The following is a 26,375-nucleotide window of genomic DNA, read 5'->3' as shown; positions in this document are numbered from 1 at the left end:
AATTTATTTGTAATGTATCTTGGAGTGATTATGTATAATATATTACAGATTACAGCAATTATGCTTCCAAGATACATTACAAATAAATTCCCACCAGGTCCATATGGGATCATGAAGCTGTTCATTTATAGCAATGTTTGTGGTGGCAGAGTTGGAGGCAATCAGGGAGAGTAGGTAGAGAAAATTGGTGCTTGCATACCATAGAGTTAGTAGTAACAGATTAGATGTACACAAAGCCATATGGATTAGAGTTTAAAACTATTGTGTTAAGTGAAAGAGTATGAAATAGAATGAAATCCATTTATGTAAGTTTAAAATACATGCCTACATATATACACATGTGCATATACACACAAACATGCATTTCATTGCTAAAGTTTTACAGGGACAAACCCCAGCTATTTAGAATGAACAAATGAACAATATTTAATTTCAAAGAGGGAGATTTATAATAGCTTGACATTTTAGCTCTTACTGAGCTTTTCTCCATCTCCCTTGGGAGGAGTCTAGTTGCAGATTAGAGTGACAGCTCTGTGCACTGATCTAAGCTAAGACATTGGTCTTGTATCTCTATTTTCAAAGTGTCTGTATGAGAAACTGTCCAGACAGTAAGGAAACAAGGAAAGAAAAAAGAATGAAATAAAAATGTTCTTTGTAGCACATAGGCAACACAGTATATCTGTATATCACATTGTGCGTACAAAATTTATAGAATTTGTTATGATTACCACAATTAATGCCATAACAACCTGGGATAGATTACAGCATTTGGCAGTGGAAGTCCTCCTGAATCAGGACCCAAAGTATAGTATTTCACAAAGTTTTTTTTTTTTTTTTGAGACGGAGTCTCGCTCTGTTGCCCATGCTGGAGTTCAATGGCAACCTCTGCCTCCTGAGTTCAAGCTATTCTCCTGCCTCAGCCTCCCGAGTAGCTGGGATTACAGGCGCCCAGCACTGCTCCAGGCTAATTTTTGTATTTTTAGTAGAAATGGGGTTTTGTCTTGTTGGCCAGGCGGGTTTCGAACTCCTGACTTCAGGTGATCCACCTGCCTTGGCCTCCCAAAGTGCTGGAATTACAGGCATGAGCCACCGTGCCCAGCCAAATATTTTTTTAAATCACTTTTATTTAGTTTCCATAATAAATAAAAGAAAGCTATAATCAATAATAGGTATATGTAGACATAGAGTGTGGAATAATAGACATTAGAGATTCAGAAGGAGAGACGGAAAGGGGATAAGGAATGAGAAATTACCTAATATATCCAATGTACATTATTCAGATGATGGTAACACTAAAAGCCCAGACTTCAGCACTATGTAGCAATATATCCATATAACGAAACTGCATCTGTACCCCTTAAATTTACACCAATAAAAATAAATCACTTTTTAAATTATTACATACCCATGAAGGGTTCCACGTACTGTAATTTTTCTTCTAATGTGTGGTTGCTTCCAGTTTTCCTAAGATGCGATTATTGTAGTTTCAGTTTTTTAAAGATTTGTCTTCTCAGAACACAGAATGCCTTTGTTAATCCTATTTAGATATCATCATAAAGAACTGTCTAAATTTCTTACTAAACTAGTTGTAAGCTCACTGTTAAAATTATAAAAGTAATATCTTTCTCATTATGGAAAATGTAGAAAAATGTAAGAAGAATATAAAAATTACCTATGATCTCACCATTCAGGACAGACACTGTCAACATTTGATGAATATATATATATATATATATATGAATTATCCTTTTTGTCGATGCCATTACAAAACTGGGATCATATCATATTGTAGTTATTTACTTACTTATAAAGTGATTTTCTTCCAGAAATGTTTTAATTTGGCTTATATAAATACACACAAAATAAAATAAAAAACAAGTGGAAGAGAAAGGAGGATGATAGGAAAAATGAGACTAGGGAAGGTAAGAGAAAGTCAGGTGTCACGTTAGTATACAATGCATAATGCACTCCAGTATGTTTGGGAGAAGTGTAGCACACATTCAGCTCTGAGTCTGCTGGCAGCAAATGTTAAAATCCAGGGCATGAATTCCTAGAGTCCATAAAATATATACTGCCATGAAATCGGTGATACATAGCTCTTGCTGACAGTCAGCCTAAGGAACTCTTCTCTCAAATCATAATCAGTAGACAAAGAACAAGATAGTGAACAAGAGCCTCCTTAATGTTTTCCCAGTAATTACAACACTCTCCTTCTTGGGGCTTGGGAGAATATCTTTGCAAAATCCACATCTGATAAGGGGTTAATATTCAAAATACACAAGGAACTTAAACAACTCAATAGAAAGAAAACAACCCAGTTAAAGATGGGCACAGGACCTGAATAAATATTTCTTAAAACATACAAAAGGCCAACAGGTATATGAAAATATGTTCAACATCACTAATCATTAGAGAAATACAATCAAAAACACAATGAGATAGCAAATTGCACCTGTTAGAATGGCTGTTATCAAAAAGACAAAGGAAGCTGAGGCAGGAGGATTGCTTGTGCCCAGGCATTTGAGGCTTCAGTAAGCTATGATCATGCCACTGCACTCCAGCCTGGGCAACAGAGTGACACCATATCAAAAAAAAGAAAAAAAGAAAAAGAAAAAAGAAAAAAACTAGGACAAAAAATAACAAGTATTGGTGAGGATGTGGAGAAAAGGTAACCCTTGCACACTGTTGGTGGGAGTTTAAATTATTATACCCTTCGTGGAAAAAAGCATGAAAGTTCTTCAAAAAAATTAAAACTAGAATTAACATATGATCTAGCGTTCCTACTACTGCATATATATTCAAAGGAAATGAAATCTGTATGTTGAAGATACATTTGCACTGCACTCGTATTTATTGCAGCATTATTCACAATAGCCACGATAAGAAATGACAAGTATCCATTAACAGATGAATGGATAAAGAAAATGTGGTATATATATGCAATGGTACACTATTCTGCAATAAAAAGGAAAGTAATTTTGTGACTTGCAACAACATGGATGAACCTGGAGGACATTATATTATGTGAAATCATCCATATACAGAAAGACAAATACTGCTTCATCTCACTCACTTGTAGAATCTAAAAATTTTGATCTGGTGGAAGTAGGGAGTAGAATGGTGGTTGCCAGAGAATTGGGCAATGGTGGTTGGGAGTTGAGAAGATGCTGGTCAAAGGATCCAAAATTTCATATAGATAGGAGGAATAAATTCAAGAGATCCATTGTACATCTTGGTGACTATAGTTGGTGATATGGTTTGGCTCTGTGTCCCCACCCAAATCTGGTGAAATTGTAATCCCCAGGTGTCAAGGGAGGGAACTGGTGGCAGGTGATTGGATTATGGGGGCAGTTTCCCCATGCTGTTCTCATGATGGCGAGTGAGTTTGCATGAGATCTGATGGTTTAAAAGTGGCAGTTTCCTCTGTGTGCTTCCTCTCCCGCCACCTTATTGAGAAGGTACTTGCTTCTCCTTACCCTTCCGCCATTTGTAAGTTTCCTGAGGCCTCCCTAGCCATGCAGAACTGTGAGTCAATTAAGCCTCTTTTCTTTACAAATTACCCAGTCTCAGGCAGTTCTTTATATCAATGTGAAAACGGACTGATACAGTTAGCAACGATATATTGTGTTATCGAAAAATGCTAAAAGAGTAGATTTTAAATGTTCTCACCAGAAAAGTGACTTTGTGAAGTAATAATATGTTAATACTGCTTTTCACAAATGTGTATGCATTTCAAATCATGTTGTAAGTGATAAAAACGTACAGTTTTATTCGTCAATTTTATTTGTCAATTAAAGTAAATAAATAAATAATGTGTGGGACTGGTACCACAACGTCTAGGACATAGGAGCTCTGTATTAAGGGTTCCTGCTTTATTACTTTACTTATTGTCACTGCATTATACCTTTGCAAAATATAGTTTTCTGTTTCCAACCTAAAAATCCTGATTAAGCAACTGAATTTGTCCTTGAAGAAAAAATAACTGCTAGTAATATCATCAGAAGCCAGACCCAAAAAGGCTTTATAACACCTATTTAATCCTTTTAAATGAAAATGTATTTAAATATATAACTTCATGTATTCATTTGAAATAAGCTGCTAACTCTAAATATTTAAATATTCCCAACTACACTCCTGTAAATTGTACAGAGCAAATTTTATTTTCTACCTATCATTATTTTCTGCTGTATTTCACACTTAAGCCAATGCTCTGATTTCAATTTTACTAAATAAATATTTGTGACTGGAGGTATGTTTTCAATCACCACCCTGGGTAATATGGTAAATGTCAGTTGTCCCTAGTTCAAGTGGACTTTGAGACTATATTATCTCTCAGCAGCTATTCTTCTTTAGTAAAATACCCTAAGAGAAGGTTGCATATTAAAAAACAATGTATTCTTCCTCAGGCAGATTGATGTTTTTTATAGAATATATTTGTATTTTTACTTCTGTATTTTTATTCTCTTCTGCAGGCAAAGTGATAAATTTAATAAATATTTAAAAACTCCATCAATTACCTCCTCTCCTGTATATTCAATTGCTCTTTCTTTATTCTCGTCAATATTGAAATGGCTGCAGTATCTTCTGTGTCTCTTGCCCTTATTCACTCTCTCCTTACAATTTGCAGCCAAAGATCTTCCCACTATCCTATTACTCTAAGGGAGGAGACCACTCCTCATGTTGTCTTATGCGTAATTTCCGCCTCCAAAGAAAGAAGAAGTAAAAACTAAAAGGCAAAAATGAAATCCACAAGCAGACAGCCCGGCGCCACACCCTGGGCCTGGTAGTTAAATATCAACCCCTGACCTAATCGGTTATATTATCCATAGATTACAGACATTGTATAGGGGAAAGCCCTGTGAAAATCCCTGTCCTGTTTTCTTCTGATCTAATTACCGGGGCATGCAGCCCCCAGTCATGTACCCCCTGCTTGCTCAATCGATCACAACCCTCTCAAGCAGACCCCCTTAGAGTTGTGAGCCCTTAAAAGGGACAGCAATTGCTCACTGGGGGAGCTCAGCTCTTGAGACAGGAGTCTTGCCCATGCTCCTGGCCGAATAAACTGCTTCCTTCTTTAACTCAGTGTCTGAAGGGTTTTGTCTGTGGCTTGTCCTGCTACAACTCAACTTGTATTTCTCATTCCACTGCAATTCTGCCTGCACTCCTTCACCAAAAACAATTTGCTAATTAAAAAAAATAAAAATTTAATAAGTAAACTTATTCTTTGTATAATTTATAAATTTAAATAACTGTAAAAAGAATACCTGTATACACTTCACATTCACCAATTACTAACATTTTGTCACATTTACTTCATCTCTGTCTCTTCATTTTTCCCAAATATTTTTGTTTTGAGACAAAGTCGCACTCTGTCCCCCAGGGTGGAGTGCAGTGGCACAGTCTTGGCTCACTGCAAGCTGCGACTCCCTGGTTCAAGCGATTCTCATGCCTCAGCCTCCTGAGTAGCTAGGAGATTACAGGTGCCCACCACCACGCCCGGCTAATTTTTGTATAGTAGGAATGGGGTTTCACCATGTTGGCCAGGTAGGTCTCAAACTCCTGACCTCAGATGATCTGCCCGCCTTGGCCTCCCAAAGGGCTTGGATTACAGGCATGAGCCACCATGCCGGGCCTCAAATATTATTTAAGAATAAATTGCCAACATCAGGACACCTCACTTCTAAATACTTTGGGTATTAAGAATAGAGGCACAATTTCACCTAATAATTACAATTTGCATTGCACAAAATTAACAGTAATTCTATAATAGAAACTAAAATGTAGTCCTTATTCAAATTTTCCTAATTGTTACTAAAATATCTTTAGAGCCATTTAGGTTTTGCTTTATGCTTTCATTTAATCATAGCTTCTTAATCTCTTTTAATCTACAACATTCCATTACCTTTCATTGTTTTTGTTTTGAGTTGATCTTTTTGAAATATCCACGCCTTATCCTGCATAATGTCTTTTATTCCAGATTTTTCATATCCTCTAGGCTGGCAGGGAGGACAAATGAATTATTTATCCTGTGTGGCAGGCAATGCTTTATTTACTTCATTGAATGAATGCCTCTTGGTCTTTCAGATAGCTAGTGTAACCATTCCCAGGTCTCAGAGTACCATATTCTCCCTAAAATTTTCAGGATGCCCTTCCCATTATTGGGAAATAAAGCTCCAGAGAGCCCCCAAATGGTAAATGATAGTAATTATGGTGCACCATTCTGCGTGAAGATGTTTCTTTTCCATCCCCCCCATTCTACCAGTAAGAAACACTTAATTATAACCAGGTATGATGATGTGTGCCTGTGGTCATAGCTATTTGAAAGGCTGAGGTGGGAGGATCACTTGAGCCCAGGTTACAGAGAGTTATGACCATGCCACTGCACTCTAGCCTGGGTAACAGAGTGAGCAAGTCCCTATCAAAAAAGAAAACACACACACACAGACACACACACACACACACACACACACACAAACCTTAATTAGATGTTAATATGACTTTAATAATTTTTATTAAAATGCTGATAATCTCATTTTCAACAATAACAATGTGCCCCCTGTAGACTCTGTGTTGTCAGGGAAAGGCAGGGTAACAGGTCAATCATAAAAAATGAAGAAACACAAAACCATGTACAGAAGAAATTTTGAATACCAAAAGATTTCCGTCAAATTCAACGTATTGACATTTTTGAAGCACTTACTATGTGCCATGCTTTGTGGTTGTGGACACATAGATAAGCAAGAAGGGATAGCTGTCCTTTGTCCGGTTACATACACAAGTAATTTCATGCAAGCCAGTCCCTAATAAAGCCCTATAAAGACACAAATTGTAAAGAAGAAGACAGGAGTGGGAGCTCTACTATGTCCATAGTGACCCTGAGGGCCTGCTGGAAGCCAGCAGGTGAACCAGGCCCTATTGGGCATTCGAGATCTTGCCTGAAATTAACACTAGGGGATGGTGAGGGAGGAGCATTAAAAATTCCGTATTCCACTGGCAAAAGTAAGTGCCAAGTATATCTCACAAAGGGGCAAAATTCTGCTTAAAGGAGTATCAAGGAATAAATACAACATGAAGGTGGGTATTTTTCAACTGGATTCTTTCAGTGCTGTGTGGGTGACTGATTCCTCCGTATTTATAGGGCATGCACTGGCAAATTTCTACATAGATTTTTAGCCAACCTGTATCTGGTGGTTGACACCCGGATCATAGGAATGGTTTGCATATTTCTAGCAATACACAATTTGAACTTTGTAGCCTGTTGTCCCTTAATTCTGCTCATGCAACCCAGCTCCAGGGTCTGTAGTTGAGCCATGAATTCACAAGCTGCTCTTGGCAAGGGATGTATAATTGTCCTACGGGAAGGTCCCCTGCCTGATGTCTGTCTTCAGACACTAGGTAAATAAAATCTCTGAAATATTGTTGAGTAGAAATGACTCTATTAATAATGGAAAAAGGAAACAGCAAGATCACTCATGTGAAAAGAGAGCACACTTCACTGAAATCCAAGCTCTTGTGACCATGCTTAGCCGTCCCTGATTGTTTTGTGGGAGGGCGGTGAACCCAGCACTAGAGGATGGAGACATTCTGTCACAGAGAGAATGCAGCTGGGGAAATGATTAAAATTACTGTGTGGGTGGCAAAGGAAGGGAAGCCTTTGTTAAGGCGAGAACAGTCAGTATTTTAATATTGCTACTCTTGCACCAGGAAGCCAAGAATTCCCGTTGCCTCTGCCTTGTGGGATAACAGACAGGACGCTTGGACACCCTTGGAGTGGAATGAATGGGGAGCTGTTGGAAGACAGCTGTTCCCAATGTGGGGACAGCTCTTGAGCATCATCCTCCGTTCACCCCTTTCGGCATGGGAATCTCTGCTGGAGAGAATGGTGAGGCCCCTGCCAGAAGGGAGTCTAAGATACAGGCGCTCAAAAATGTTTATTGTGTGCTCACTATGGGCTGACACTATGATCGTCAGTGGGAATATAGTGATGAATAAGATAGGCCCAGTCCTTGCCTCCTTGGGATTCTGGGAAAGATAGAAAAGTAAACAAGTCAAAATCAAGTAAACAAAGATGAACTTCAAAAGGGCTTATTAAGAAGATGACATGGAGGCTTAGGTGAGGGTATCTAATCAAGTGTATGTGGGGTGGGGAGGAGAAGGTAAGGCAGTAATAGGCAGGGAAAGCTTCCCTGGGAAGGAATGACTAAGCTGCAACCTGAAGAATAAACAGAAAGCAGGAAATTGTATGAAGACAGAGTGTTCCAAGTAGAACAAGTCTAAGGCCATGGTATGATCTGATGCACAATTTTATTTATTTTTATTTTTTAATTATAGGTTTATGGGGTACACGTGCAGTTTTGTTACATGGCTATATTACGTAGCGGTAAAGTCTAGTCCTTTAGTGTAGCCATCACCCAAATAGTGTACATTTTACCCATTAAGTAATTTCTCATTTCTACCCCCCCATCGTTTTACCCTTCTGAATCTCCAAGTCTGTCATTCCACTCTATGTTCAAGTGTGCACATTACTTAGCTTCCACTTATAAGTGAGAATATGTGGCATTTGACTGTCTGTGTCTGAAGTAGTTCACTTAAGATAATGGCCTCTAGTTCCATCCATGTTGCTACAAGTTCCATTATGTCCATTGCCAAAAAAGACATGATTTTATTCTTTTTTATGGCTGAGTAGTATTCCATGTGTGTGTGTGTGTCTGTGTATATATATATATATGTATCTCACATTTTTTTATCCACTCATCTATTGATGGACACTTAGGTTGATTCCATATATTTGCTATTGTGAATAGTGCCACAGTAAACACACTAGCGCAGATATCTTTTCGGTATAATGATTTCTTTCCTTTTGGGTAGAAACTCAGAAGTAGAATTACCGGACTGATAGTAGTTCTATTTTTAGTTCTTTGAGAAATCTCATTACTGTTTTGCATAGAGGCTGCTCTAATCTGCATTCTCACCAACAGTGTATAAGCTTTCCTTTTCCTTAATCATACACAATTTCCTACAATTTATTCTGCCTGAGGAATGGAGAACAAATGAGATGGGACCAGCGTGGGAAACCAAGGCAGGAGACTGTTATAATTGCTCAAGTGGAAGATGGTTGTGAAGGCAGCACTGACATCTTGCCCTTAGACTAACCGTATCCACCATTTTCGTAATAAAGAGTACCATGTATCTTGGGGGGAAAAACACACACTGTGGCCTGGCGGAGGATGGGGATGGGGAAGGGAGAGCTTCAGGAAGAACAGCTAATGGATGCTGGACTTAATACGTAGGTGATGGCATGATCTGTGCAGCAAACCACGATGGCACACATTTACCTGTGTACAAACCTGCACGTCCTGCACATGTACCCATGAACTTAAACTAAAATTTGAAGAACAAAAAAAGAGCCTCATGTGTCAGTGCTTTGAAGTTTTGCACCTGATGTAAATTTTATTTTATTTATTTATTTTTTTGTTTGAACAGAGTCTCACTCTGTTGCCCAGGCTGGAGTGCAGTTTTGTGATCTCGGCTCACTGCAACCTTCGCCTCCCAGGTTCAAGGGATTCTCCTGCCTCAGCCTCCTGAGTAGCTGGGACTATAGGTGCACACCACCACGCCGAGCTAATTTTTTTTATGTGTGTGTGTGTGTATATTTCTAGTAGAGAAGGGGTTTCACCATATTGGCCAGGCTGGTCTGGACCCAATGTAAATTTTATTAAAATTCACACAATCGTTATGTAAACAGAATTATAGACTAACATACAAATTGAGCTGTAGATATTGCTTGCTTGCTTTATTCAGGAAGCCACTTCTTTTGAAGGTCTGGCCCCCTTGCAATGCAACTAAAATTTTCCCCAAAATTGTTTATAATTTTTCTTTGAGAATAATTATGTTTTGTACTTAGTGGTGACCACTGATACAGAAAGCTGTTTTGAAAATGTCTACAAAGTTTTCTTATTGGCTGGGTGACCAGGAAAGGGAGGAAGTTAAGCATGACCCCAGGTTTCTGAGTATGGGAGTCTATGACAGAGGCTCCAGGGCAGAAGCAACTCCAGATTGGAGGCCTGGGACAGGATTGCAGGAGATTCTTGAATGTATGAAAGAAGAAAGATTGTTTATCTGGAGGACAAAAAGTTCCTGTTATTGCTGATATGATCCACATAGGAAAGAGCCTGGATCCACCTAGGAAAGAGCCTGGACAACATCAAAGAGAAAAAAGGAATATGGCAGTGAATTTAAAATTGACCTTCACCTAATGAAACAAACATAGCTCCATGGATTTTTCAGTCAGTGTTGACCCAGAAATCATGCAATTCAAACCCTTTATTTAACTGGTGAGCAGGAGGCCTGCGGAGGTTAAGTCACTTGTGCAAGGTCAGGTAGCTAAGAGAACTTAATTTCTTATGTCAAGTAATTGCAAAACAGCATCAGTTGCTAGGCATATGTTTTGTGTACCCTTCTGTATACACAAACTAATTGCAATTTATACTTTGTTAAAAGCTTTTTAAATTTTCTTTTCTATTAATGGAATAAATTTCTGAAATTTACAACACATTTTCCTTCATTACCATTTGTGTCTCTGCAATGAGGATCTTCCCACTAGTTAGTCATTCATACATTTACTGATCGGGGAGATTTTTTATTGCTCTTTAAAAATTCAACAAAAGGTAACTGTATTATGCAATAATGTGGGTACTCTAAGTCCTTGACGTTAGGAGCCCTTTCGTTCTCTTTTTCATGCTTTTTCTCTTTTGTTGTTCCTCTACTCCAGACAAATCAAAACAAAGCATGTTCACAACCAGGCCAGACCAATAAGTTAGGGTACTTTAAACCGTGTGTGTGTGTTTGTGTTTGGTGTGTGTATGTGTGTGTGTGTGTGTGTGTGTGTGTAGTCAGTATTTATTTAACAGAGTCTGACTGTGCTTCATGGCGAAGTAGAGAAGAGCCATCAGGGGCCCCATGAACCTCCTCTACTGTCCAGCACAGTTCCATTCTTGCCTCAAATATGAACACCTGTTCAGCAAAATAACAATCTTGCCATTAATTAGAGCCATCATCCTTAGATAGCAGTTTGTGTTTCTAAGTGTTTCCCTTGGGGATTTCAACCCTGGTTCCCATCCTAAGAAGTTTATCAAATAATTCCTTTCAATTCTCTCACGGAGAGAGACTCTAGTGATTTTAATTTCCTCCCACCTTTTCATGTTCGCAGTGTCTCACCCTTAAATCTCTGGTCCCAGGGTGCTCAGGACTCCTGGACATGGCCTTCCGAGGGTCTGTCCTCTAGAGAAGAACCGTTCATCACTCTCTAGCAATATTTCTTTTTCTTTAGGACACCACTCTCAGTTAGATATAGAATTAAGCGATCTAATTAAATACCCAATACTTTGTCTTTAACCCTCTTGCTTGTAATTATTGTATTTTGTCTGTTTTGAATCCTGGACCTTGAACTTTATTAACACCTATGTTGTTCACTACTGTACCCCAGCAGCTGGCAAAGTACTTGACTCCTGGTTGATGATAATATCTGCTGCAACAGTGAATTAATTAAGTTAATCCAAAGAACCAATAATGTGTTATTCATTATAAGAAATAGGGTTAGGTTCATCTGTGAATGGCAACATCTAAGAAAACTGTGGCTTACATAAGTTGAAAGTTTATTTCTTTTTTATCCAAAATGATGGAAATAGGTGGTCTGTGCCTGTAGGGTAGCTTTATTAAGTTCTCAGGGATCCAGAGTCCTTCTATCTTGTGGCTCTGCACCCTCAGTATGTGGCTTCTGCCACATAGTCCAAGATAGCAGTGTGAATTTCAGCTGTCATGTCTGCTTACAGGTATAAGGAATGGGGGCCTTGTATTAGTCAGTTCTCATGCTGCTATGAAGAAATACCTGAGACTGGGTAATTTACAAAGGAAAGAGGTTTTATTGACTCACAGTTCAGCATGGCTGGGAGGCCTCAGGAAACTTACAGTCATGGTGGAAGGGGAAACAAACATGCCCTTCTTCACATGATGGCAGCAAGGAGAAGTGCAGAGCAAAGGCAGAGCAAAACCCCTTATAAAACTATCTGATCTCCTGAGTTCTTGGGAGATGTAACTACCACAAGAACAGCATGGAGGTAACCGCCCCCATGATTCAATTACCTCTCACCGGGTCCCTCCCACGACATGTAGGGATTATGGGAACTAGAATTCAACATGAGATGTGGGTGGGAAAACTACCAAACCATATCAAAGCTAAAGATGGGAATGGCTCTTTTTTTTAAGGATATTTGCTACGTACCAAATTGTTTTCCCCCGGAATTCCTATGTTGAAGCCTTTATCCTCAGTGTGGTATTTGGAGATGAGGCATTTGGAAAGTAATAAGGCTATATGAGGTCATGAAGGTGAGGCCCTCATCATGTGGTCAGTACCCTTATGAGAGACACAAGAGGGCTTGTACACATGCACTCTCTCTCTCTCTCTCTGTCTCTCTCTCCCTTTCTTTCTCTCCCTCCCTTTCTTTCTCTCTCTCTCTCTCTCCCCTGTGTCCCCAGCCTCAAGTGCACAAAGAAGAGGTGATGTGAACACAAGTGAGAGTGAGATGACAGCTGTCTATAGGCCAAGAGAAGAGCCCTCAGAATGAGACTACCTCACTGGCACTTAGATATTTTACTTCCCAGGCTCCAGAACTCTGAGTAATAAATTTCTGTTGTTTAAGCCACCCAGTCAATGGTATTTTGTTATAGCAGCTTGAACTGACTAATACAATACTTTTTGAATGACGTACGATACTTTCAATATGGGTAGAACATAGTCATATGACCATACTCAGCTACCAGGGAAGCTGAGAAAAATAATCCATACTCTGAACAGCTTTGTGCCCAGCTAAAAACCAGGTATCCTATTGGTAAGGAAGAGGAGAATGGATACTGTCAACTTGGCATCCAAACATACCCTTTTTATCCAAACTTTGTTTCCAAATAAAGACAACGGCAAAATTTTGTCTTTGTCTAACGTGATGCAGCTATCCCTTAGACAACTAAAAGCATGATAACTGTCTCCCAAAAAGATGATTAAGAGAAATCTAGTCAACTCACATTCCCCCAGTTAATATCCTGAATTTAAATTATTAAATATAAGGGTAATGATTATTAACATGTTTGGCATTAGGTGGCAGGAGAATGGGAAAAAAAGAAAAGAAATTTGGCTAGTATGTACACAAATGTATTCATATAAAAATAAGTATAAAATACTCATAATCACTGTAGTCCTTTTTGTGCAGCTGGTCATGTGGCTGTCACTGGTATTTATAACTATTCTCTTCCATGATCCATTCTGTATTCCCTTTCCCCTCAGCAAACACATTAGCTGGTCATGGTTCCCTGTCCGGTAGTTTGACCTAAACGTGATTCCTGAAGGGTCTGGGCCATTAGCAGTTCTGCCTGTATTGGTTTTACTCTGACACTTACTTTAATCACAGGACATGATAGTACTCAAAGGTACTCTCGGGGATCTCCCACATTCCATATACTCCTACTTGCCCTCATTGAGTAGTGGCAGCCCACTTTCCCCTTGACAGTACAAATCACTCCTGCGAGTACACTAATCCCTTCTTTGTCTGTGGATACATGGACATATGGAGCCTTAAGTATTCAGGTGGTAGTCTCAACTAACATTGCTGGGTCCACTGTTTGAAGCATGTCTTCCTTGTGAACCAAGGCTTGTACACCTGCTTAACACAAAGTCATGGATATTGGAAAGATGTAGAGGTGGTATTCGGAGGAACCAATCTTTTGGGCGCCACCCCTTCGTTCTTGAACTCACAAAGCCTGGTGGTGGAAGAAATAGCGCTAGTTATTGACTGTTGATTTAGAGGATATACTGTATCCAAGAAGATATTACTTCAGCCTCACAGGCTTCCTTCAGGTGACATTGTAATTTTCAAAGGTCTATTCTACAAATCTATCAGGTCAACATGACAGAGAACAACAGACAGTAGTATCAGATGACTAGTGAACTCTGTAAGCATGAGTCAATAGCCTCACTTCCTTCACTGTGAAACAAGTTTCTTGGTAAGAAGTAATTTTGTGCTTCTTACCAATTTTGTGCACAAAGGTGAATAAGGCAGTCAGGGATGATGATTTTTGCAGAGGCTTTGCAGGTAGGGAAGGCAAATCTGTACTCCCAACTTCTATTCCAGTGAGAATAAAGTGCTGCCTCTTGTATGATAGAAGTAGTTCTGTGTAATCCATCAGCCACCAGGTGACTGGCTGATCTTCCCAGAGAATGATGTTTTCCACTCCATCCTGCCTTCCTACAGTCCCCTATAATTCAACCCTGTTAGGTTCCCTTCTAATTCTGGCTATTGTATAAGATTGGGCTGCAAAGCTTATACTCTGAGTTTGACCTCTTCTTTTAGGGGTAACTGCTTATTAGCAATTTATTGTTTTCCAGATTCTCAGGGCCAGCTAAATCCCCTTTACTGTTTCTTTTATTCCTCCTGCACAGTTGCTTATAAAATGTGGATATTGCTGCTGTCAGTGATTTTATCTTACCTATTCATATTTTGGATTATTTGGGTATCTTGTCACTTTGTTAAAGGTGTGCTGCATGGGTGTTGTGTGTGTGTGTGTGTCTGTGTGTGTGTGTATTCTAATATATTCTAGCTGCTGCTTCTGGTTTTCTTTCTTTGGGACATGGGATGAGGCGATTCAGGGAGATTAAGAAATGATTCCTCTTCTACCAACATTTTGTTTTCAGGTTCTATTAATATTATTTCAAAGCTCCCCAAACGTCTTAATGTGCTGCCAGAATTGAGAATCACTTCTCCAGAGGAGTGGAGAAAGTATTGTATTAGGTCAAACATCTAGATTTGCTCTCTGCCTTCTGCTAGACTTGAGGGTACTAAGAGGAGTTGGAGAAGCCTTAAGAGGCCTCTGTACATCTAAGCTCATGGTTCATCCACCAGTATCCAAGGCAGGGTTCAAGCTTGTCTTTATCTCTAGAGAATCCCTGGACAAGGAACTCCGTGCTGCTATGTGATTTGATTAGATTAAAATTTAGCACAAATACCTGGAAATTTTCACAGTCAGTGTGCTCTGGGGCAAGATTTCTCACAGCCCTTCTTGGCCATGACTGAACCATGTGTTTGACCAAAATTTCCCATTTGTCATAATGCTTGATACATAGGTTGGCTCCCTCATTAAGTAGGTTGCAGGTAGTTCAGGCCAACTTATATATTCTAAGGTCTCAGGTATTTTTGAGATACCATCCCAAGTTTCTGGTTTTCAGTGTTGCTATTTAACCCCGATTTTTGGTCTGTGCAAACAAAACAAAACTAAAACTAAAATAATTAAACCTCCTGCCCCACAAATCAAACAAAAAAAATCAACATTAAATTTTCTCCCAAATGTAAGGATGATTAATTATTCCAGAGTAAGAATAGGCATAGGGGCTTCAGAACCTTTGTTTATTTGTCTCTTTGACCCACTTCTATTTATACCTCCTAGTGACTCTCTGGAGTTTCTCTACATGTGGGTTCAGGTTCTAGCATGTTTACTGCAGCAGCCAATATAGTTCTTATGGTCAGAACCTGATTCTTTAAAGTGAATGTTGATTCTGCATGGTTTCCTTATCCAAAGTGTCAGTTTTCTTGTCTGCCAAGGCTTTCCTGTGAGGACAATTCATGTCCTATTCCCTTGTGTAGCTTTTGATGGCAGGTAGTCTACTGCACATTGTTTCTTGGAGCAGTAACTTAAAGGAATTGATTTAAGGCCCCACAGAGTGATGTCACTCATGCTTCCTAAGTAAGAAGACCTAGGTTTGAGTCCTGGCTTTGTCAGAAAACAGATGACTTTGGATTCAGTGCTATCTGCTGAGATAACTAAAAGAGACTGGGGTAGGGTTGGATATCCTCAGACAGAATTGAGCGGCTTGTATAAAGTTCCCAATACTATGAGCAGAAGTCTTGCAGGAGACATGGCATTTACTCACTTCTCCTTGTCGAGTCTTTTCCACTGTTGTGCCGTTCTTTGGGAATGTTAATACTCTACCAGGTGTCAGCCTGTATTCTAGATTGAACCTGTGAATGTTTCACAGTTTTCCTTTGTGATTCGGATGTAATTAGAACTGGGCCATTACATCTTCTTCAAATATGCTCATAAAGGATTTTTGTAATCATGGTATTTGGGGACTCTATGGCTCTGAGCAATCAAAAGTCGACCTTGCAGCATACATCATCAAGACAAGGGTCCAAGAGGTCACCGGATAAGCTCATCACAGGCAAATGTCAATGCTCACTATATTCTTTTTCCTGAAAATTGTTCTTCACTTGTTATAAAAAAAAATAATGAGGGGTCTGGGCACAGTGGCTCATGCCTGTAATCCCAGCACTTTGGGAGGGCGAGGCAGGTGGATCATTTGAGGTCAGGAGTTCGAGACCAGCTTGGCCAACATGGTGACACCACATCTCTACTAAAAATACAAAAATTAGCCAGGCGTGGTGGTGGGTGCCTGTAATTCCAGCTACTCAGGGGGCTGAGGTAGGAGGATCACTTGAACCCAGGAGGTGGAGGTTGCAGTGAGCCAAGATCACACCACTGCACTCCAGCTTGGGTGACAGAGTGAGGCTGTCTCAAAAAAAAAAAAAAAAGAGACACGGTTTTAGCCTTTATAGACTTTTTAAAAAATTCAAGTAAAATACATATAACAAAATTTATCATCTTAACGATTTTTAGGTGTACAGTTCAGTAGTGTTATGTATATTCACATTTTTGTGCAACCAATTCCAGCACCTTTCCATCTTGCAAAACCAAAACAACCACTCCCCATTCCCTTCTCCCCTAGCCCTGCCATTCTGCCTTCTGTTTCTATGGATTTGACTACTGTAGGTATCACATACAAGTGGAATCATATAGTATTTGTCTTTCTCTGACTCCCTTATTCCATCATTCCATGTAGCACAATGTCCTCAAGGTTCACTCATGTTGTAGGATGAGAATTTCATTCCTTTTTAAAGTTGAATAATATTTAATTGTGTGATATACATTTTGTTTATCCATTCATGCATTGATGGACTCTCAGAATAGTGAGGCTATGAACATGAGTGTGCAAATATTTCTTCATGACCCTGCTTTCAGTTCTATTAAGTATTTACTCAGGAGTAGAATGGCTGGATCATATGGTAATCCTATTTTTAATTTTTTGAGAAACCATCCTACTGTTTTCCGTAGTGACTGTACCGTTTTGCATTCCCATCAGGAATGCACAAGGGTTCCAGTTTCTCCACATTCTTGCCAATGCCAATGCTTGTTATTTTCTTGTTGTTGTTGTTTGTTTTCGGTAGTAGCCATCCTAATGGGTGTGAGGTGATATTGTGGTGTTGATTTGCGTTTTCCTGGTGATTGGCAATTTTGAGCATCTTTTCATGTGCTTATTGGCCATATACATATCATCTTTGAAGAAATGTATATTCAATTCCTTTGACCATTTTAAAATTGAGTTATTTGTTTTGTTGTTGTTGCTAAGTTGTAGGATTTCTTTTATATTGTGGATATTAATCTCTTATAAATATTTTCTCCCATTTCATAGGTTGCCTTTTCACTTTCTTGATTCTGCCCTTTGATGCACAGAAGTTTTAAATCTTGGTGTCCAATTTATCTATTTTTAATTTTGTTGTCTATGTTTTTGGTGTCATCCAAGAAATCATTGCCAAATCCAGGGTCATGAAGCTTCCCCACTTCTCTTCTCAGAGTTTTACAGTTTTAGGTCTTAAGTTTAGGTCTTACATTTAGATCCATTTTGAGTTAATTTTTGCTCAGTGTTTAGCCTCTATAGCCTTTTGAAATGGTTGATATCCTTGAACTTGGCTCACTCCTTTCTCCTCTAATTCTGACATGCTTTTCAAGTTCAGTGAATTTGCCTAAGATCTTGCATGTCAGATTTATCTCCAACTTAAAAGTGTATGTTGGTGACAGCTCCCAAGAGGCTACAAGACCTGGATGAGGCAGGCCCTATACTGCATGTAACTAAAGGAGATGATTTCTATGAAAGAACCTTGAAAAGTATAAAATGATAATCACATGTGCATGGAATAATATTGGTTCTACTGGAAGTACACACCAACCACACTTTTTAATTGATTTCTGTGAAGTGAAGATGGATGGGTTATACTTAGGAATTGTGAGATTTAGGTAACTACAGAAGGATGGCTGTGCCAGACATATGATGGGACTAAATGTAATATTAATAAAACACAGGTATGTGCCTGTATAATATATATAATATATATGTATACATACACATACATATATGTATACTTTTTCTTTTATTCTCTTTCTTGCTTTTTTTCTTTGCCTTCCGTCCTCAATAACTAGCCTGGTTTCCTTGCAAAGGTTCGTCTGCTCTAGAGCAAACTGAAATCCAATCAGAAGCAAAAGAACCCCTTTCAATGACCTTGAATACACTGCAGTTTGCATGGAAGGAAATGTAGTAGAAGTGCTCATGTGTGAGCCTTTCCTGGTCTGCTCACATGTCCTTGGCAGGACACTTCTTCCCGGAAGAAGGGATAGGGTGCAGTGTAGAAGCCATATGCTCACAGACATGATGGGAACTTAATTGGATCAGGGACAGGAGAGAGGCGTACTGATTGTGAGAAGTGGTGCGGAGTAGTTGGCAGGTGTGTTTGGGTGTGGGAGAAGAATTTGCATTTGGATAGGTGCCTGGATGTGAGGGTGGAAACTGGAAATTAGATAGGCAGGTGCCGGTGAGATGCAGAGCTAAAGGAAAAGATGGGAAATTGGACTGAGTCATGGAGAAGGAAATTCACAAGAGAAAATGAAATTGTGGTGGTGGAATGGCACTGGAGAGGGGTGTAAGGGAACAAATAGAAAACCTGGGAAGCAGGAAGTCTAAATGAAGGATGAGAAGCTCACCAGGGAACATGGAAATGGGTAGACAGTACTTACACTAAAAAAGAACAAGAAAACAAGAAGCAGAGGTGACTGTTACAGAGTAAGGTGAATAGCATGCCATCCCCTCTTTTAGAGGAGGTTATAAGAGTATAATAAAGAACAAATTATGACAACTGCAGGAGCAGAGTACAAACATATAAAGGAGATTCATAAATACAGAGATAAGGAAATGGGTTTTACTTATTTAATATTTAAAAGAGAAGAGCAAGAATTTCAGAGCATCCGAGTTTTTCTATATTTTTTTTCCAGAATGCAGAGTTTTGCCAGTGATCTTTGTAAAGCTAGAATTTAATTTCCTTTTTCCTCGAGGCATTGACCCTATATGCTTCATTTTCATTTTAATATTTATAGTAAAGGAAATACACATCAACAAACATGTATTGGCACAGCATTTCCTCTAACATTTTATTTTGAAGAATATCTTGTGCAAGTATTTATTTTCCTGCCTCAGTATCATAAAGCGTGTTCACTAATTTTGGAGGGTCAGGAACTATTAAAGGAGATGTCACATTAGCATCATGTAGTTTCAGATTACACAGCTGCTCTTATGCTAGTGGTAGGATTATATAATAGAAGTTTCCTTCTAATTATGTTCTATGACAGGAATTGACAAACTTTTCTGTAAGGGACCACATAGTAAACACTTTAGGTTTTGCTGGCCACATGAAGTTACATGGCCAACAAAACTTAACTCTGCCATTGTAGAACAAAAGCAGCCATAAACAAACCAAAAGTGAGTGAGCACGGTTGTCTTCCAGTAATATTTTACAAACATCGAAATTTGAATGTTACATAATTTACTTTTTTTTTTTTTTTTTTTTTGAGACGGAGTCTCGCTCTGTCACCCAGGCTGGAGTACAGTGGCGCAATCTCGGCCCACTGCAACCTCTGCCTCCCAAGTTCAAGTGATTCTCCTGCCTCAGCCTCCTGAATAGCTAGGACTACAGGTGCGTGCCACCACACCCAGCTAATTTTTTGTATTTTTAGTAGAGACAGGATTTCACCGTTTTAGCCAGGATGGTCTCGATCTCTTGACCTCGTGATCTGCCCGCCTCAGCCTCCCAAAGTGCTGAGATTACAGGCATGAGCCACTGTGCCTGGCCTATATAATTTTCTCATGCCATGAAATATTATTCTTTATCTTTTTTAACCTTCTAAAAATGTGAAAACCATTCTTGGCTTGCAAGTTTTACCAAAACAAGTGGCCAGTCAGATTTGGCCATAGGTTTTAATTTGCCAACTCATACTTTGTCATACTACACAGTGATTTCTTGTCATTTCATTTGCTTGTCAGAATTTCTCTTAGTAATTGTTTTCTAATGTTTTGTAAATCAATTTTTCAGAACATTTCCATTTCCAGAGACTCCACTATTTCTAAGAGACATACATCTATTTTCAGAAACACAGAATATGTAACTGTTTTTACACTAGCAGAGGGAATTATTTTGTAAAAGCACAAATTGGATTTAATTATTAGACTTATGTCTTCAAAAAATAACTACATTTGAGTCTTCAGAATAAATATGAGAAAATGCCAAATGTAATTTTTGGTTCATAGCCAGCAGTAAGATTTTTTCAGAATTGAAAAACACTAAACTTCATTATTTTAGACTAATCAAAATAGAGCTCAGTAAAAATTTATAATCTAATACTAAATCCATCTGATAATATAGCTGATTAAATTATCTCCAGGAAATCTAATCTACTTTAATAAAATATAAGTATGGTTTAATGTAAATAAATGTATTTAACTTACTTAAGGATACTTAAGCATTCTTTATGTTTCTTAAAGGAATACGTTATTTGTTTCAATACCATTTTTATATAATTCACTTAACCTATCTGTAAAGAAAGATTTTGATGTCCAAAACAAAGATATAGCTCAGCTTAGGCTGAGGCTGGAGTATCCAGTCCAGGAGTTTGAGGTTACAGTGAGTTGTGATTGTACCACTGCCCTCCAGCCTGGTTGACAAAGTGACACTCCGTCTCTAAGAAAAACCTGAAATTTATATGCTAACTTGGAATACAAAGTCAGTTTGTAAATTATTCAAATTAAAACTTGATTCAAGCAGAATTCTTTAAAATATTAATTTATATTAATTGACAAATAATAATTGTGTATATTTATGGGGTACAGTGTGACATTTTGAGTTATAATACATTGTAAAAAGATGCAATCAAGCTAATTAACATATCCATGTTTTTTGTGGTGAGAATGTTAAAAAAAATCTATTAGCCATTTTTGAAATATATAATACATTATTATTAACTATGGTCACCATGCAGTATAGTAGATCACTTACACTTCTTTCTCCAAATTTTCTTTATCCAATCCACCACTGACGGGTACCTGGGTTGATGCCATGTTTTTGGTATTATGAATAGCACTGCAATGAATATGCAGGTACATGCATCCTTTTGGTAGAACTATTTATTTTCCTTAGGCATATACCCGGTAATGAATTGCTGGGTCGAATGATAGTTGAACTCTTGTATCTTTGAGGAATCGCCAAACATCTCTCCACAGTGGCCGGACTAATTTGTATTCCTACCATCAGTGTGTAAGTGTTTCCTTTTCTCTGTAGTATCACCAATATCTGTTATTTTTTGACTTTTTAATAAAAACCATTCTGACTAGTGTGAGATGGTATCTCATAATGGTTTTGATCTCCATCTCTCTGATGGTTAGGGCTGGCGAGCATTTGTTTTCACATGTTTCTTGGCCATGTGTATGTCTGCTTTTGAGAAATGTCTGTGCAGTCTTCTGCCCACTTTTTAATGGGGTTGTTTGTTTTTTGCTAGTTGAATTAAGTTTTTTATAGATTCTGGATATTAGACCTTTGTTGGATGCATAGTTTGAGAATATTTTCACCCATTCTGTAGGTTGTCTATTTACTCCCTTGACAGTTTCTCTTGCTGTGAAATAGCTCTTGAGTTTAATTAGGTCCTACTTACCAATTTCTGTTTTTGTTGTCATTGTTTTTGAGGACTTAGCTATAAATTCTTTGTCAAGACCAGTATCAAAAAGGGTATTTCCATGCAGCCATAAAAAAATAATGAAATCATGTCCTTTGTAGCAACATGGATGCAGCTGAAGGCCATTATCCTAAGTGAATTAATGTAGAAACAGAAAACCAAATACTTCATATTCTAATTTATAACTGGGAGCTAAACATGGGGCACACTTGGATGTAAAGATGGGAACAATAGACCCTGGGGACTCCTATGGGGGGAGAGAGAGGGAGGCAAAGGGTGACAAACTACCTGTTGGTTACTATACTCACTACCTGGGTGAGGGGTTCAATCATATTCCAAACCTCAGCATCACACAATATACCTTTGTAACAAACCTGCACGTGTACCCCTGGTACTAAAATAAAAATTGAAGGAAAAATTTAAATAATAAACAATAAACAGGCAAAAAATACATTTCTGCAGTCTAACTGAAACTGCACTTTTTCATCAACATGCCCCTTTCCACATTCCTCCCTCTCCCTGTCCAGCAGCTCTTTGGTAAAAGTGAGTACAGTTGACCTTTGAACAACACGGTTTTGACCTGCATGGATCCACTTACACACAGATTTTCTTCCACCTCTGCCACTCCTGAGAAAGCAAGACTAACCCCTCCTTTTCCTCCTCCTCCTCCTCCTTATCCTATATTCAGTGTGAAGACAACGAGGATGAAGAACTTTATGATGATCCATGTCCACTTAATAAATAGTAAATATATTTTCTCTTATGAATTTCTTAATAACATCTTCTTTTCTCTAGCTTACTTTATTGTAAGAATACAGCATATTATATATATATACACACACACATATATACGCATACCATAAAAGAAGTGAAAGATCTCTGCAGTGAAAAACTATGAAGCACTGATGAAAGAAATTGAAAAGGACACACAAAATGGAAAGATAGCCCATGGTCATAGATTGGAAGAAGTAATATTGTTAAAATATTCATACTACTCAAAGAGATCCACAGATTCAATGAAATCTCCATCAAAATACCAATTACACTCTTCACAGAAATAGTAAAAACATTACTAAAATTTTACTTTTATAGAAATACAAAAGTCTCCAACTAGCCAAAGCAATCCCAAGCAAAGACAACAAATGCGACAGTATCACACTACCTGACTTCAAAATATACTACAAAGTCATTGTGACCAAATCAGCATGATTCTGGCATAAAACCGGACACATAGACCAATATAACAGAATAGAAAACCCAGATATAAATTTACATATTTACAGCCAATCAATTTTTGACAAAAGCACCAAAAGCACACACTGGGAAAAGGACAGATGAGTGGTGCTAGGCAAACTGAATATTCATATGCAGAAGAATGAAACTACACCCCTATCTCTCACCATACAAAAATCAAATCAAAATGAATTAAAGACCTAAATGTAAGACCTGAAACTATGAAACTATTAGAAGGAAATATTGAGGGACTGCTTCAAACCATTGGTCTGGGCAAAGACTTTTGAGTAAGACCTCAAAAGCACAGACAGAAAAAGCAAAAATAGACAAACAGGATTAAATCAATATAAAAAGCTTCTGCACAGCAAAGAAACCAGTCAATGAAGTGAAGAGACAACCTTCAGAATGGGGACACTATTTGCAAACCATTTAACAAAGGATTAATGACTGGGATATATAAGGAACTCAAACAATAGCAAAAAATAATATTTACTTAAAATGCGCAAATGATCCTAATAGACATTTGTCAAAAGATGATATTCAGTTGGCCACCAAGTATATGAAAAAATGCTGAAGATCACACTAATAATCAGGGAAATAACAAATCACAACCACAAGGACATACCATCGCATCTCAGTTAAAATGGCTATTATTTAAAGGACAAAAACTCTGGTGAGAATGCAAAGGAAGAGAAATGTTAGTACATGGGTGGTGGAAATGTAAATTAATACAGTCACTATGGAAAACACATGGGAGGTTCCTCAAAAAACTAAAAATAGTTCTACCATATGAGGTTCCTCAAAAACCTAAAAATAGATCTACCATATGATCCAGCAATCCCTTTGCTGGGTATATATCCAGAAGAAAGGAAATTGTCTGTTGAAATTTGTGTGATAGAAAAAAAAAAACAGAAGAAAGATATCAGCATATCGAAGAGATATCTGTACTTTGCATGTTTATTTCAGCACTATTCACAGCAGCTAGCATATAGAATCAACCTAAGTGTCCATCAACAGATAAATGGAGAAAGAATGTGATATATATATATGCTCAATGGAATATTACTCAGCCACAAAAACAATAAAATTCTGTCATTTTCTGCAACATGGATGGAACTGGAGGACATATGTTAAGTGAAACAAGCCAGGTATAGAAAGACAGATATCGCATGTTCTCACTCACATGTAGGAGTTAAGAAGTTGATTTCATGGAGGTAGGAAGTAGACTGATGGTTACCAGAGGCTGGAATGGGTAGAGGTGAACAGAGGAGGAAGAGAGGTTGATTGGTGAATACAAAAATACAGTTAGATAGAAAGAATAAGTTCTAGTTTTGATAGCACAGTAGCATGACTATAGTTAACAATAATAAATAGTTTCAAATAGCTACAAGAAGGATACTGAATGTTCTTAACACAAAAAAAAAGATCAGTGTTTGAGATGTTGAATGTGCTATTTACCCTGGTCTGATCACTATACATCTACCAAAACATTACTATGTACCCCATATATGTGTACAATTATTGTGTCAATTATAAAATAGATTTTTAAAAACTATTAAAAAACTGTACTTGATTTTACATTTCAAAATAGCTAAAAGAGATTTGGAATGTTTCCAACTCAAAGAAATGATAAGTGTTTGAAGAGGTGATGTCCTAAATACTGTGCATGTATCAAAATATCATGTACACCATAAGTATGTACCATTATTATATAGCAATAAAAATTTGAAAAAAATATAAAAACAAAAAGGAGAGACACATACATATAAAGAAAGCTCTGATTTGATCATTACACATTGTGTGCATGTATCAAAATAATATCACATGTACACCATAAGAATGTACAATTATATATTGAGAAAAAAATCGAACAAATATAAACACAAAAAGAAGAGGCACATAACACATATAAAGAAATCTCGGCCGGGTGTGGTGGCTCATGCCTGTTATCCCAGCACTTTGAGAGGCCAAGGCAGGTGGATCCCGAGATCAGGAGATCGAGACCATCGTAGCCAACATGGTGAAACCTCGTCTCTACTAAAATACAAAAAATTAGCCAAGCATGGTGGTGCACACCTGTAGTCCCAGCTACTTGGGAGGCTGAGGCAGGGGAATCGCTTGAACCCGGGAGGCGGAGATTGCAGTGAGCCAAGATCGCGCCACTGCACTTGAGCCTGGCGACAGAGCCAGACTCCCTCTCAAAAAAAAAAAGAAAAAAAGAATAAGAAATCCTTTGCTGTTTTGTGGGCACTGTCCTGGCTGTGATATCTGGAACCATGGCATCGTCTTGTGGTCCCATGAAAGGGGACCTAGCCTGCAAGTTTAGGTCAAACCTGTCAAGGAAGGTAGAACAAAAAAATGAAAAGAAAATCGGTTCCCGACTTTGTTGTCCTACTGAATTAAGCAACCCTGAGGCAAGCTTACCTTTGGACTTCCTGTTGTATGAGATAATACATTTCCCTTATCATTTAAGTCAGTTGAATTGAAGTTTTCTGTTACATGAATCAAAAGCACCATAAAGAACATATAATTCAATGCTAATTCAGTTTATGCTTCTAAAACATTACTTAACTGATTCTATTATATCTCATAGCAAGAATCAACTATACAACAGATTCTGCACAGAAGAGACTATTCAAAGAGAAAAATGAAATTATATACACATGTTTGCAATATTTAACTACCTGAAAAGTCTCTGAATTTCTTTAACGCATTTCTGATTCATCCTGGCATGCATACTCTGCCTGGCTACAGGCAAGAACGTTTTCCGCGGGTCTGCTACCTCACTTCTGCTTTCATCTTTTAGTGATGGCTTGTTGCTGCAATCCAGAGAAACAGCACTTACTCACAAAATAGTAGCTTCCCAATTTCACCTGGGAAAGCGAATACACCCATGTGCTCTGTAAATTGTTGCTTTGAGGGTCAGACCGCTGATTAAAAACCATGGGAAGTCAGAGCTGGCAACATGATGACGCTGTTTGCTGGGGTTGCAGGGCCTTCCACACATGCTCCACAGCTCCTGCCTTGCTCCAGCTCTGCTTGGCTACTGACTGACATGTCATTGACAGACTGTGCCTTATCCAAGGGAGTTAGTCAGAACTCTGATCAGATCCTGCAACTCTTTGCTGGGATTATGTGAGCAACCGCAAAAAAGGTTCTGATAAACAATTGCAACATTCGTTGAATCCTCACCAGACTTAATGTATGAGGTTTAG

The sequence above is a fragment of the Homo sapiens genome, chromosome 8, assembly GCF_000001405.40.
Source record: "Homo sapiens chromosome 8, GRCh38.p14 Primary Assembly".
In the NCBI taxonomy this organism is placed as follows: Eukaryota; Metazoa; Chordata; class Mammalia; order Primates; family Hominidae; genus Homo; species Homo sapiens.
Note: the sequence above shows the minus strand (reverse complement) of the source record.